At 42.0% G+C, this 14723-nt stretch overlaps 1 protein-coding gene and 1 long non-coding RNA gene across 5 annotated transcripts in view, besides 1 other annotated feature; both read left to right on the forward strand.

The window, feature by feature from the left end:
- SEMA4F (ssemaphorin 4F) overlaps window positions 1-1982 on the forward strand; it is a 55165-nt gene extending 53183 nt beyond the window's left edge. For both annotated transcript variants that reach the window (NM_001436846.1, NM_001436847.1), the window contains one exon: window positions 82-1982. The gene's annotated coding sequence lies outside the window, so the exon portion shown is untranslated. The remainder of the gene's footprint in view (window positions 1-81) is intronic.
- Window positions 1983-7869: 5887 nt separating this feature from the next.
- Window positions 7870-14723, forward strand: part of LOC102724497 (uncharacterized) — a 39767-nt gene continuing 32913 nt past the window's right edge. Inside the window, exons 1-2 of one of the 3 annotated variants that reach the window (XR_427047.5) lie at window positions 7870-7946; window positions 14345-14404. This is a non-coding gene — a long non-coding RNA (uncharacterized LOC102724497). The other 2 variants (XR_001739541.2, XR_001739542.2) reach the window with 2 other exon arrangements.
- Window positions 7997-8256: a silencer, noted in NCBI's record as "silent region_11672". NCBI's record gives its function as "represses an Ori minimal core promoter by ATAC-STARR-seq in GM12878 lymphoblastoid cells {active_cell/tissue: GM12878}" and the evidence as "EXISTENCE:reporter gene assay evidence [ECO:0000049][PMID:35858748]".

The raw sequence follows: 14723 nt of genomic DNA on the forward strand, positions 1-14723 counted from the left end.
CTGGTAAATCTAGGTTAAAGGTATGTAAATGTTCATTGTATTCTTGCAGCTTTTATGAAAGTTTTTTTTTTTTTTAAAAAGGTTAACAATTTCTCTTGAAGACTTCTGCTTCTGGCCAAAGTGGAGTAATAGGTTCAGATTTGCCCTCTTGCCTGAAACAATAACAACAACAACAACAAACACAATAAAGATATATGAAGGAATGGTTTTCAAGACATGGACATCAGGTGACAAATGACAGTGATTCCTGGGAGTTGAGGAGAGTTTTACAATTGCTCCAGCTTACAGCCCTGAAGAAGTTCCTAGGGCACAGTTCAGGAAGGTGGAACCCAGATGGAGCCTGGAAAATGCTCTGAGTTGAGGAAACAGAGATAAGAGTATGGGGAGACCAAAGCAACTAGAGTTTGCAGGATAGATGATGGAGAGGAGAGAGGTGCACAGAGAGAGCCCAGGAGATCCTCAGGGGTCTCCTCAAGATCGGTTCAACTAAGTACCAATCAGCACATGTGTGTGAGGAAACCATCTGCGAGGATTAGAAGCAGCGCTGCTCAGTGCTCACTCAGGGCTGAGAACAGTGCCAGTTCCCACCTGCCAGATTGGAAAGTCCCATGATTCCTGGGGCACTCAGTAGTTTGTACAGAAGGTCCTTGCCTCAGAAGTGGGCAATAAATAACCCTAGACTGAGCACTTCTCAGCACCCTTGAAAAAAAAAATCATAAAATCAAAACCTGAGGATCCAACTGTTTCCAAGTAGTTTAACTTATCCCAGAGCAAAGTTCAAAAATATATATAGGAATCCAAAAATATTTAACACCCAGCAAAGTACATTTACAATGTCTAGTATCTAAGCAAAAATTACCAGGTATGAGAAGAAGTAGAAAAATATGACCCATATTAAAAAGGAGCCTAGGCTTTTCCCCTCACTCAGCTGTGATGAGGCACCCCAACCCTTCCTTGCTGGGGTGATGTGCCCTGTAATGACCTTCTCCTCAGTGATTATGTCAGTGAAGGCCATGTGGGGACCTGGAACTCTCACCCTCACCAGCTGTAATGAGACACTCTACCCCAGTGGAGTGTCCACAGAGGCCAAGTGAGGACTGTGGACTTACACAACCACCTGGCAATTATGAAGCAGCAGTCCCCTTTCCTGACTGGCACAGTGTCAGACAGGGCCTGCTAAAACAGAAAATTTAAATAAGATATAATGTCTTATATAATTCCCCCAAAGCCCAGGAATTAATAGAAAATCACTCATCATGTCAAGAACCAGGAAAATCTCAACTTGAATGAGAAAAGACAACAAATGCCAATGTTGAGATGACACAGATGTTGACAAAAATTTTAAAGAAACCATTATAAAAATGCTTCAATGAGTAGTTATAAACATGCTTAAAACAAATTTAAAAATAGAATGTCTCAGCAGGAAAACACAAGACATAAAGAGGAGCCAAATAGGCTGGGTGCGGTGGTTCACCCCATTAATACCAGCACTTTGGGGTGCTGAGGTAAGAGGATCGCTTGAGCCCAGGAGTTTGAGACCAGCCTGGGAAACATGACAAATTCCTGTCTCTACAAAAAACACAAAAAGAGCTGGTGTGGTGGTGCGTGCCTATAGTCCCAGCTAACTCAGGAGGATGAGGTGGGAGGTTGGCTTGAGTCCAGATGGCAGAGGTTGCGGTGAGCTGTGATTGCATAATTCAAGAAGCTAATGAACCTCAAACAGAATAAACTGAAAAGAAATCCATGACAAAGCACATCATAATCAAACTTCTGTAAAACTAAGACAAGACAGAATGAGAGAAATGACACCTTGCACAGAGAGGGAAAATAATTTGAATGACAGAAATTTTTCATCAGAAACTGTGGAGGCCAGAGGGAGGCATCACACATTTTTCAAGTCCTGAATGAAAAGAACTGTCAGCCCAGAATCCTAATTCAGTGAAAATGTCATTCAGGAATAAAAGGGAGATTGCCTAGCTATATTAAAACATTATAATTTAGCCTAATGTAATTTTCTAGGCAGTTTCAGTCAGTTTTTTGCTACTCTCTGATGTTCAAGATAGAAAAAGTTATTTTACAAGCAAGCTGAATACAAAATAATGGAAATAGTTTGTAAAACCAGTATATATTATATGCCTATATTGCACATGTTAAAGCACTCCATTATAATACAGTATGTAATCTACTGTTTTTGAACGGTTTTGTTCAGCATTTGGCTATTTAAAAAATATTTATAAAGAGATTTATTTCTTTCAGTTCTGGAGGCAGGAAAGTCCAAGGTTGAGGGGTTCACATCTGGTGAGGGCCTTCTTGCTGTGTCATCCCATGGCAGAAGGTGGAAAGGTAAGAGGGCATGTGTGTATATGTGTGACGGGGTGGAAAAGAGCGAGAAGGAGAAAAAGAGAGAGAGAAGTAAGAAGATCAAAATCACCCTTTTATCAGGAACCCTGTTTTATCTGGGAAACATAACAGCATTAATCCGTTCATGAAGGCAGAGGCCTCATGACCAAACCACCTCTTAAAGGTCCTACCTTTCAACATGGTTGCACTGTGAATTAAGTTTCCAAGAATATTTGGCTCTTAAGTACATTTTTGTTGTTGTTTCCATTTAGAATTTCTTTTCTAGAGCTTGCTTTAATTTTATTCATTCAAAACTTTGCACTTGCTTTCTTTTCCTATATTTATTTCCTTTTTAGGTTATGAAGCTTTTTGAGGTGGAACCAAGCACAATTCTTGGATCTAAATAAGCATTTGATTTAAGTTATCTTTGAGCTTTTAATAACTTAATGAACATTCTATGCTATTCTATGGGAAATGCTTGAGTTTTTCATTTGCTTATATTTTCTTTATCAATTTTGTGTCTTTTGGGTAAGTAAAGGACATAAAGTATGGAATACCTTAATAAGACAGTGAATTAAATCTATTCCCCTGATTTAACTACGAAAAAAGTCAATAATAAGAAAACAATCTCCCCTTCCCCAAATAGGACAACTATTTGAACAACTATTCAACCAAAGACAATATATGGATTGGAGACAAGAGGATGCTCAACATCATTCATTAGGGAAATACAAACTAAAACCACAATGAAATATTACTGGTTACCTATTAGAATGATTAAAATTAAAAATACTGACCATATCGGCCAGGCATGGTGGCTCACGCCTGTAATCCCAGCACTCTGGGAGGCTGAGGCAGGCAGATCACCAGGTCAGGAGATCGAGACTATCCTGGCTAACACGGTGAAACCCCGTCTCTACTAAAAATACAAAAAAAGTAGCCAGGCATGGTGGCGGACGCCTGTAGTCCCAGCTACTCGGGAGGCTGAGACAGGAGAATGGTGAGAACCCAGGAGGTGGAACTTGCAGTGAGCCGAGATCATGCCACTGCACTCCAGCGTGGGTGACAGAGCGAGACTCCATCTCAAAAAAAAAAAAAAAAATACTGACCATATCAAGTATTGGCAAGGATATGGAGCAACTAGAACTTTCATACATTGCCAGTGTAAAATGGCACAGCCATTTTGGAAAACAGTTTGGCAGTTTCTTACAAACTTAAACATATACCTACCATGTGATTGAGTCATCCCATGCCTAGATATTTACCTAAGAGAAATGAAAGCACATATCCATACAAAGAGTTTATATGAATGCTCATAGACACTTTATTTATAATAGTAAAAAACTGGAAACAACCCAAATGTCCATCGATGGATGAATGAATAAATATCTATGAGATGGAATACTACTTAGCAATGAAAAAGAATGAAGTATTGACACATGCAGCAACATGGATGAATCTCAAAATGATTAAGGTGAGTAAAGAAGCCAGACAAAAAACAGTACATATTGTAAGCCTCCATTTATATAAAATTCTATAAAATCTAACATAATTTATAGTGATAGAAATCAGATCAGTGGTTGCCTAGGTGTGATGGGGTGTGGGTTGCAGGGGGAGAGATAATAGAAGGCCACGAGAAAACTTTTGGGGTGATGGATATGTTTATTATCTTGATTGTGGGGCTAGTTTATCAGGCATAGTCATATGTGAAAACTTATCAAATCGTACACTTTAAATGGGTGTATTTTATTATATGTCAATTACACCTCAATAAAGTTGTTTTAAAAACTTTAGGAAGAATATGAGCTATAAGTCAGTCACACATTAATTAACGTTAATTAATTTTCTTTCTTTCTTTTTTTTTTTTTTTTGAGATGGATTCTTGCTCTGTCGCCCAGGCTAGAGTGCAGTGGCGCTATCTTGGCCCACTGCAACCTCCATCTTTGGGGGTAAAGCGATTCTCCTGCCTCAGCCTCCCAAGTAGCTGGGACTACAGGCGCACACTGCCGTGCCTGGCTAATTTTTTGTGTTTTAGTAGAGATGGGGTTTCACCATGTTGCCCAGGCTAGTGTTGAACTCCTGAGCTCAGACAATCCGCTTGCCTCGGCCTCCCAAAGTGCTAGGATTACAGGCATGAGCCACCGCACCCGGCCCCGGAATCTGCATTTCAACAAGCTCTTCTGATGGTTCCTCTGCATCTGGGAGTCGAGAAGTTCTTGCTCTATGGCCTCTGAAGTTGCTTCGAACCCAATTCAGAATCTCAACCCACTCCTCTGCCTTTTCTAGTCATAGTTACTTTTCCTTAAGTGCCACACTGGCATAAAGGCGTTCGATGTTCCACTATCTTTCCTGCAGGTGTTCAGCACATGATCGGTGGTTTCTAGGGTCTGCCATGGGTCTTACTAATTATTTGGAACCAAATATAACAGAAAACAAGTTTGGAATTCTAAAAAATCCCTTAAAAACCTTTTTAAAAAATCTTGGACACAGCAGCTGTGAATGGTCTGGGCCTGCCTGTGCAGTTATTGCTGAAATTACTGGGGCTGTTGAGTATTTGGAAATCAAATCCCAGAAGTGAATTGGCTGTGCCAATCAGTTGTAAAAGGATCTGGCCCTGGGAGGTTTGATGGGTAGGGGCAAATGGGGACATGGGAAGAGGGTGGGAGGCTTCAGGACTGCATGAACTGAGTAGAAAGATTTGGCCTTTGGGGACAGAGCATGCAACGGGCAGCTGTTCCCGGTGACCTGGGCATCTGGGACTTACTGAGGGAGAGACGTGATCTTGGCCTAGCTGACCACCATCGAAACCACTCATCGGAGGCGTGGATGCAGTTTGCTGGGAAGATGAGCACCGATCTGTCTGGTGGTCACATGGAGGGCTTTGCAGATCTCTGACACTGGATATTTCCCCTTGCCCTGGTGCCAAGGACTAGGGGAGAGATCACTCTGGGCTTGAGTCAGGGACAGGGATGCCAGGCACAGCGAAAGAAGATGACTGTGGTACAAACCCAGCTGATGAAGTGGAAAATAAATAAAAGAGAAGGAATCAAGCTGGTTCATGTAGGAAGCATGCACACACTCATCCCATCCATTGTTCCACATCGGGCACCTCCCTGAGCTAGCTGCCACTCCTGCTGCACTCTGCCACTCCTTGGAAGGCAGCACAGGGCAGTGGTTAGAGCCTTCTCTTTCAGTGTCAGACAGGCCTGGGTTCATGTCCAGGTCTGCCACTTTACTTACTAGCTGTGGGATGCTGATGAGCCCAAGCTCTCTCCTAGCCTGCTTCTTGATCAGTAAAATGACAATGACTAGAGTACCTAGTATATGGAGTTACTGCAGGACTTGAATGTGCCAATACATCTAACATGCTTAGCATAGGGCCTGATCATGGTTGGCATTTGATAAGTGCTAGTTGTTATCATTATTAATATTACTAATCATCAAAGAAAGATCTTCAGTTGGATATTTGGGCAAAATTATGAAATTTATCCCTAATCTTTTGATTTACAGATTGGTGTGGATCTGTTATTAAGTGTTTTCTTTTTTTTTTTTTAAGTTATCTTGTTTCCTGACTCCTGAATTGAAGAGTGTTTCTTCTATGAATTTCTTTTCTTACAGAAATAAAATTGAAAGAACTTTTAGAGAACTGACATGTTAGACACAGTCTTGAGCTTCATAGAGATCACAGTCTGTCAGGGGAGAAAGAGGACGAAAATAAGCAATTTCAGTACAGGGGAGGAACATTTCAAAAGGGGAATGTGGGGTGCTAGGAAGGAGGGAGATGCATGAACTTAACACACCTGTCACTTCTGAGCAACTGGTACTTCCAGCAGCCCCTCCTGCTGCCCCCTCCATGCTTCCCTCTGAAAGCAACACCTAATAAGCCATTAATAAGTCAGAAGAAAAGGTTTGCCATGAAGAAAAGGCTCTAAGTATATTTCTTTTAGTTTCTTGAAATTTTCAAGTCTGATTTTAGGAAGTTGCCATAACTTGAAAAATTTCAAACACTGCATGAGCATCTAGCAAAAGCTTGTAAAATAAAATGAGTGCTCATCACATTTAGAGGAATTATAAAGGCAGCTGTGATACAGGAAAAAGAGCCCTAGTCTTGGAGAGTGGAGCTGTGTATGTGCCCTGGTTTCAGGTGCTGTATGATGATATCAGGCATGGCACTAAACTACGATGAGCCTCAGCTTCTTCATCTGTAAACTGGGGATGAGGACACCTACCTCCCAGGATGGTAGAAGGACTACATATGATTGTACTAGATACAAAAGTAAAACAGTGAACAAACAGATGAAGATTGTTTATCTGGGAGTTTAAAACCCAGAATCTTCCAAACAACAGAATGCTGAAAATAGTAAAGACTAGCTAAGGTTTAAAAGACTAGCATTTATTGAATCCTTACTGTGTCTAAGCATGGAAGACATTTTATCTCATTTAATTCTCATAACCTGTGAGATAGATACTCTCATCATCTGCATATTACAGGTGAGAAAACTGAGGCTCAGAAAAGTGAAGTAATTTGTCCCATATTCCCAAACTAGCTAGTGTCAAAGCCTGACTTTTTGACACTGGATGTTTTGAGCTCAGAGCACTTTTTTTTTTTTCTTGGACATTTTGAGCTTAGAGCACATCCTCTTTTATGTTATATTCCTGTGCTTGTGTGTATTATCTCATTTAAAACGCACAATCCTATGTGGCCTGTATATTATTCCCATTCAGTATGTGAGGAAACTAAGTCACAGAGAGAATAAATAACTTTCTCAAGGTCACCAAGTAAGTAAACTGGAGTCAGGTTCAAACTCAGGCAGCCTGACTCCAGGGCGCTTCAACCACAATGCTAATGGAATTATTCTAAAATGATTTTAAAAACAATCATTCATTTTCAAAATCATGGTATCGGAATGCGTGAAAAAAGACTTGCTATGGCACAGAGAACATTGTAATGGGGTAACCCGCCAGGCTAGGAATGACCCAGGTATGACCACTGGTCATGGCACAAGGCCCTTTCTGAGCAATATAGGCAGGGCAGAGCCTGCCATGATGGAAATCACAGTAACATCATGGAGGTGGCGCTGGTAAAAAAAAAACCAGCTCTGCCCGATGTGCATCGATTACAAGACCTGGTGGCGAACATATGTTTTACAGCCCTAAATTGCATTCGTGCAAATATTTATCATCCATCCCCTGCCAAATCCGCATAATGGAAAAACAAACCAAAGGAAAACCTCCAGAGGATGTGAAGGCTATATCAAGTCTCTTGCCAATTGTTGTGCTCTTTGGGCGTAATATATCTAAATCTTAGTAATTCCAGGATTTCCAGTAATCTGGAATATCCGCTACCCTGTCCTGAAAGCCCTCCTCCAGCAGTGGGCCGCCCAACTTGAGTTCGCTCAATTTCCTCTTTCACCTGCAGGTGGCAGCACGAGTGCCGATCGCTGTCAGGCGAGGGCGCTCAGGGGTGGGAGCCGAAGAGAGTAATTTAGGGATAGAGGTGAGAACGGAGTTAGACACAAAAGTAAGATCACATGAACTCCGACTTCGGATGGAACACATCATCCATTTAAACCCTCGAGCCGAGCTCAACTGGAAACTCCACCTAAGTAAGCGTCGTGGGCCCTGGAGCCCCGCGGCTCAGGGCAGGCCGGGGCGGGGCGGACGCAGCGCGGTTTGCCCGCCTGTGCGGAAGCCTCCGCAGTCCGCGGCTGGCAGGGCCTGGGGCGGTCTTTCGCGTGGGTGTCCGTCCCTCCGCAGCCGTACTGCCGGCGCCAGGGCCGGCTCTGCACATTTCGTAAGGCCTTACATGGCTGCACCCCCCCCGCCACCGAGGACCTGAGCCCGCCGGCCGCCCTCCCGCGCTCTCCCGCCTGGGGACTGCGAGCTCCGCGCTGCACCTCCAAGCGGGGGACGCCTGCGGACTCCACCAAGCTGCCTTCCCCCGTACTGCTGTCCCCTGTGGGAGCAGAGGAATCCGACCCAGGTCTGCAGGCGAGGGACAGGAGGCTTCTTTAGACCTGACAGGGTGCGGGTTATTTTGTCCCTCACCTTTCCTGCTCAGGGACCTGTCCTCCTCCGTCTCGTTCCATGCCTTCTCTCCTCCTCTTAAAGGATGCTAATCACATTCAAGCCAAAAGATTAGAGACTTTTCTGTGTCCTTCGTCAGGAATGCTTGGATTTGTTAGGAAGGGAACTGGATACAACTTCATGAGATATAAGGGTGTAATTTCAGACATGTGCGTTTCTTTCTAGGATTATTTAAATTACACCTCAACTCACAATCGGCTCATGCCTTACAACCATCTGTGGCTAAGAGGCAAGTCGGACTTCCTGGTAAACCCTCTTCTCTTAGGTGAAGCATGGAGCTGTGACCTTATTAACCTGAACAGCAATTGGGAGCCTCAAAATAGAAAAAGCAAAAACTCAGGAAAGTTTATTTATTTATTGTTAAGACAGAGTCTCACTCCATCACCCAGTCTGGAGTGCAGTGGCGTAATCTCGGCTCACTGCAACCTCCGCTTCCCGGGTTCAAGTGATTCTCATGCCTCAGCCTCCCGAGTAGCTGGGATTACAAGAGCCCACCACCACGCCTGGCTAGTTTTTTTTTTTTTTTTTGGTATTTTTAGTAGAGACAGGGTTTCGCCATGTTAGCCAGGCTGATCTCGAACTCCTGGCCTCAGGTGATCTGCCCGCCTCAGCCTCCCAAAGTGCTGGGATTACAGGCATGAGCCACCATGCCTGGCCAGAAACTTCTTTAATCAACATTGATTTTCCAGGAATAGAAGTTGTATAATAGAGAAAGCAGCACCTGAGTAGGGCCTTAGAGTCTAGAAGGTGCTTTCAGTTACAGGCTTGGGAGACACCCATTACTCATATGGTCTTCGATAGGTAAGTATTAATCCCTGGTGTTTGTAGTCATGATAATTACCACTTGTGAACAATGTAGCTGGTGTCCATTGTCCTCCACCAGTACTGCAAGACAAAGAGTCATTAACTAAGTAGATGACACACTCCTCTTAGTTTACACTCCGTCCCACTTGCCCCCCACCTCCATGAAAGCAGGTATGATTATTCTCCTGTAAAATTATTTTTCCTCCTACTTTCCTGACCTGAATTCAACTGCCTTTCTGTCTGCTCAACCTTCTGGTGAAGATTTCTGCCTCTGCCCCTCCCCATCTCACCTTCTAATTCCTACAGACTCCTCCCTAGATTGACCACCCGGGAATGACTGTCTAGATTATACATTATGAAATTTGATTATAGTTGATTAAACACATTGTTAAATATTGCCCTGACTTGTTTTCATTCTACTTTCTGAAAGTATAATCTGAACTAGCTGTGAGCTTTGAGAGAACAGGAACCATATTGATTAATCCTAGGCTTAATAAGATGTATTAAAAAGAGACAATAAATATTTAACAGTTGAGTATGAAGATGAAACTTTATTGATGAGAAACAGGAAATGTCATCCACTCAATCTTTCCATTAAAGTTTCCTGAGTTTCAACTTTGTGCCAGATCCTGTGCTGGACAGTGTAGAGGAAATTAAACATGAGGAAGACATGGTCCTGCCCTGATTTGTAGGAGATAAAGCATTCACACAGCTCACCAGAAGGCAGTATAAATGCCTCAGAGTGCTGGAAGCAGAGCGCTACCATTCAGAGGAGCAAGAAGAGAGCTCCTGTGGCTGGTGGTCAAAGAAAAGTTCACAGAGAAAGCAGCACCTGAGTAGGGCCTTAGAGTCTAGGAGGTGCTTTCAGAAGGCAAAGATGTTGTGTCAAAGTTAGGCAGAGGGAAGAGTAGGAGCAAAATTAGGAGGGGAAATAAGTCGTAAAATTTATATGGGAAAACCAAGCAATGCAGTTTGACTGCAGTGATGCAATAAAAGTAGTAAGTGATATTTATCAAGAACCTACTGTATGCTGGATATTATTTACTTTATATATATATTTTTCATCTTATCCTCATAATCACACATGAGGTAGATGCTGCTAATACTACCATTTTATGGATGGGGAAGCAGAGGCTCAGATGACTTAAATAATTTACCCAAGGCTATAGCACTACTAGGTTGGGATTCGACTCTGGAGCCATGCTATTCCCCCTCCAAGATATGTGTGGGAAGAAGAGAGAAGTGAGATTAGGGAAATTGTTTGGCAGGTCCTATTAAATTGTACCTTAAATGTCAGAATTCAATTTGGTTAAGTAATAGGGAGCCACTGAAGATTACTGAACAGGTAAGTCACCTAACTAAAGTCAGACTTTAGGAAGATTGATTGGTAAGATGGATTGGAGAGAACAGAGACAGAGGAGGAGGAGAAAAGACCAAGTAGGAGGTGAATGCAAATGGGAGATGAAAATTGTTGACCCTATTCACAGTCTGAATGGAGCAGTGAGAATCCAAAGTAAGAAATTGTCATGGGAGACATGTCAGAAGTAGATTCTTTAGGGCTTGGTGACTTGGTGAAGTGGACGGTGAAGGAAAGGGTTGGTGGTGAATCCAAGGCATTGAGCTGAATCCTGAGGAGATGCAGCATTGTGGTCAGGTGGGAGGAGGCAGGCTGAGCTGCTTCTGGATAGCTCCTTTTGGTTGCTTAGTCGTGTTGGTGGGACTGCACTGGGCTATATTTTGGTGAACATGCACAACAGACAGGGTTGATGCAGGTCTGGGACACTGGGAAGGGGTTAGGGATGAAGTTGTAAGATCTGGGAGTCCTTCACGTGAAGCCAAGGGAGAAAGAACCCACCTAGGGAATGAGAGTAAAGAGAGGAAAAGAAAGAATCTAATGGAACCTTGGGGAGGGATTTTATTCAGGGAGCAGGAGGAAGACAGGTCACAGAAGGCAGGAGAATGACCAGTCAGAGAGGAGTGAGATTGAGAGGATATCAGGAAAGCCAATGAGAGAACATTTTAAGGCAGAGCGTGGTCACCAGTGTCAAAGTACTGTAGAAAGTCAAGGAGGGTGAGGACTGAATTTCTTTGGCAACTAAGGGGTCACTGGATCTAACAAAAGAGGATGAGATAAATACATTACAGCTCATGTATGTGACAGAATATTCCACAGACATTAAAAACCAGGTTTTCAAAGAACAGGGAATTGGCAAAGTGTTTATAATATAATGTTAAAGAAAAGAATGAGGAAAGAAAGAAAAAGAAAGAAATTAAAGCGTAAGAGAGGATACAATTATGTCTATAAAACATAATTCCAAGTTTATTTTGTCTGCCTACCTTTTAAACACAAACAGAATATTAACATATACTAGGGAGTTTTCCTTTGTTCTCTGCCAGGCTCTTGTGCTTTTATTGAGTGAAGCAAGGTTATGAGCAGAGCCATGGAATTAGAAGGTTATGAGCAGAGCCATGGAACTGGAATTTGAAAGACTGGATTGCTTCAAATTAGAAAGGGCTTGGAGCTACTTGCATGAAGGATCCAGGGAAGATCAGGAAGAGGGTAGCAAAGGGCAAGAGTAAAAGGGTCACGAAGGAGGCAAAGAAGGCAGAACAGCCTGGGTAGGGCAGAGTTTGGGAGTGAGTCAGACAAGGGAAATATTGGCTGGGTTAGTGAGACCTGGAGGACACAGGTGGATATAAAAGGTCTTTTGTGCTGGTATTTGCCAGACTTAAACGATGTGATTCTTTGTGCTATGTATTTGAAAAACTAAGGCAAAAAAGTCTAAATTTATTTTTAATGACTTTGAATGTTGAATAGATGATTCATTTTTTTTTAAAAAGCATTCACAATGGATAATTTCAAATCATACACAAAAGCAGAGAAAACGTTTTAATGAACCTAATTTACTCATCCTTTGACTTTAACAATTATTAGTGCATGGCAATCTGTTTCGCCTATACCCCCACCTATTTCCCCCATCCCATTACTTTGAAGCAGTCATTCCATCTTTAAATATTTCAATAGCTATATCTAAAATAAATGTTCCTTATGTAAGCATAGTATTATCATGCTTTAAAAATAACAATAATTTCTTAGCATTACTAAATAAATATTCAGGATTTTCAGATTCCTGATTGTCTTATAATTTTTGTAGTTTATTTAAATTGGAATCCACACAAAGTTCACCTTTTGCAATTGGTTAATCTAGCTTATGAACATCTTTTTAAGTTACAGATTCCCCTTTCATCTCTTTTATTTTTCCTTGAATTTTTTTTCCTGAAGAAATCCACAGTTGTAGGGAAAAGAAAGAGAGATCAGACTGTTACTGTGTCTATGTAGAAAGGGAAGACATAAGGAATTCTATTTTGACCTGTATCTTGAACAATTGCTTTGTTGAGATGTTGTTAATTTGTAACTTTGCCCCAGCCACTTTGCCCCAGCTATTTTGTTCCAACTTTGAGTTCACAAAAACATGTGTTGTATGGAACCAAGGTTTAAGGGATTTAGGGCTGTGCAGGATGTGTCTTGTTAACAAAATGTTTACAAGCAGTATGCTTGGTAAAAGTCATCGCTATTCTCTAGTCTCAATAAACCAGGGGCACAATGCATTGTGAAAAGCCGCAGGGACCTCTGCCTTGGAAAGCCAGGTATTGTCTAAGGTTTCTCCCCATGTGATAGTCTGAAGTATGGCCTCGTGGGGTGAGAAAGACCTGACCGTCTCCCAGCCCGACACCCGTAAAGGGTCTGTGTTGAGGTGGATTTGTGAAAGAGGAAAGCCCGTTGCAGTTGAGATAGAGGAAGGCCACTGTCTCCTGCCTGCCCCTGGGAACTGAATGTCTTGGTGGCTCACACCTATAATCCCAGCACTTTGGAAGGCTGAGGCGGGCAGATCACCTGAGGTCAGGAGTTCGAGACCAGCCTGACCAACATGAAGAAACCCCGTCTCTACTAAAAATACAAAAATTAGCCAGGCGTGGTGGCACATGCCTGTAATCCCAGCTACTTGGGAAGGCTGAGGCAGAAGAATTGCTTGAACCCCAGGAGGCGGAGGTTGCAGTGAGCCAAGATTGTGCCATTGCACTCCAGCCTGGGCAACAAGAGCAAAACTCCATCTCAAAAAATAAATAAATAAATAAAAAATAAATCCACCGTCTGAATTGTGTTGATATTTCCATGGTGGTATTTAACATGTTCTTCTGTCCCTGGTATGCCCTGTAGATTAGAAGCTTTATCTCTGGCCAGATTGTGGGTAGTTTTTTTTCTTCTTTATATCTTTTTTTTTTTTTTTTTTTTGAGATGGAGTCTCTCTCTGTCACCCAGGATGGAGTGCAGGGGCGTGATCTTGGCTCACTGCAAGCTCTGCCTCCCAGGTTCACGCCATTCTCCTGCCTCAGCCTCCCGAGTAGCTGGGACTACAGGCACCCACCACCACGCCCGGCTGATTTTTTGTGTTTTTAGTAGAGACGGGGTTTCACCATGTTAGCCAGGATGGTCTCGATCTCCTGACCTCGTGATCCGCCCGCCTCGGCCTCCCAAAGTGCTGGGCTTACAGGCGTGAGCCACCGCACCCGGCCTATATCTTTTCATATTTTCTAAGTTTTCCACTCATTATTCCTTAATTTTATATTCAGAATTTATGAAGTAAAACAAAGTTTAAAATGACTTTAGTAGAAAACTTTTTTAAAAGAATGGCTTTAGAAATTAATTAACAGGAGGACAATTGGTGAAATTCTAATAAAGCCTATAGTTTTATTAATAGTATTGTCTGAAAGTTAATTTCCTGCTTTTGATAAATGTCCTATGGTTATGTAATATGTTAAAGTTTGGGGAAGCTGGACAAAGGATATATGGGAACTCTCTTCACAGTTTTTTGCAAACTTGTTTAAAAAACTGAAATTTCAAAATAACAAAGTTACAAAAAAGAAAGAAGAATTTTAGTGGAGTGATAGAGATTGAAACTAGATTGTAGAAAGTTAAGAAACAAAGAGGAGAAAGAAAAGGTAACCTGTTGGAAACAGTGGCCATTTAAAAAATGGAAAGAAATTAGGAAGTAGCTCAAAGAAGTGGAATGATTAAGATTATTTTTTATTTATTTTTTGTTTTGTTTTTAAGGCTGGAAGAGACTTGAGCTTGCAAGTGAAATAAGCCAGAGAATTTTGAAGATATAAAAAGGTAATAAAATTATGTGTATGTATTTAAAATGCTCTGTAAGAAAATTTTTTAAAAATGAGATTATTGGTATAATAAAATGGGACCCAGAACAGATGGGTTTGCCTGGTCAAGGAAATTAAAACACCACCTCTTCCTCTGAAATAGGAGGAATACAGAAAAGGAGTGATGTTAACATAGAGAAACTCCAAAGTGGAGAGAAACAGAGGTGAGGTAGTAGATGCCTGAAGACTTTTCACTTGACCAGAAAATTGAAGTGACATCCTTGGCTGATGGTAAGAGTCATTGGGATGGAGTTGAAGACTCATGGAGCCTAGAGAAT

The sequence above is a fragment of the Homo sapiens genome, chromosome 2, assembly GCF_000001405.40.
Source record: "Homo sapiens chromosome 2, GRCh38.p14 Primary Assembly".
NCBI lineage: Eukaryota > Metazoa > Chordata > Mammalia > Primates > Hominidae > Homo > Homo sapiens.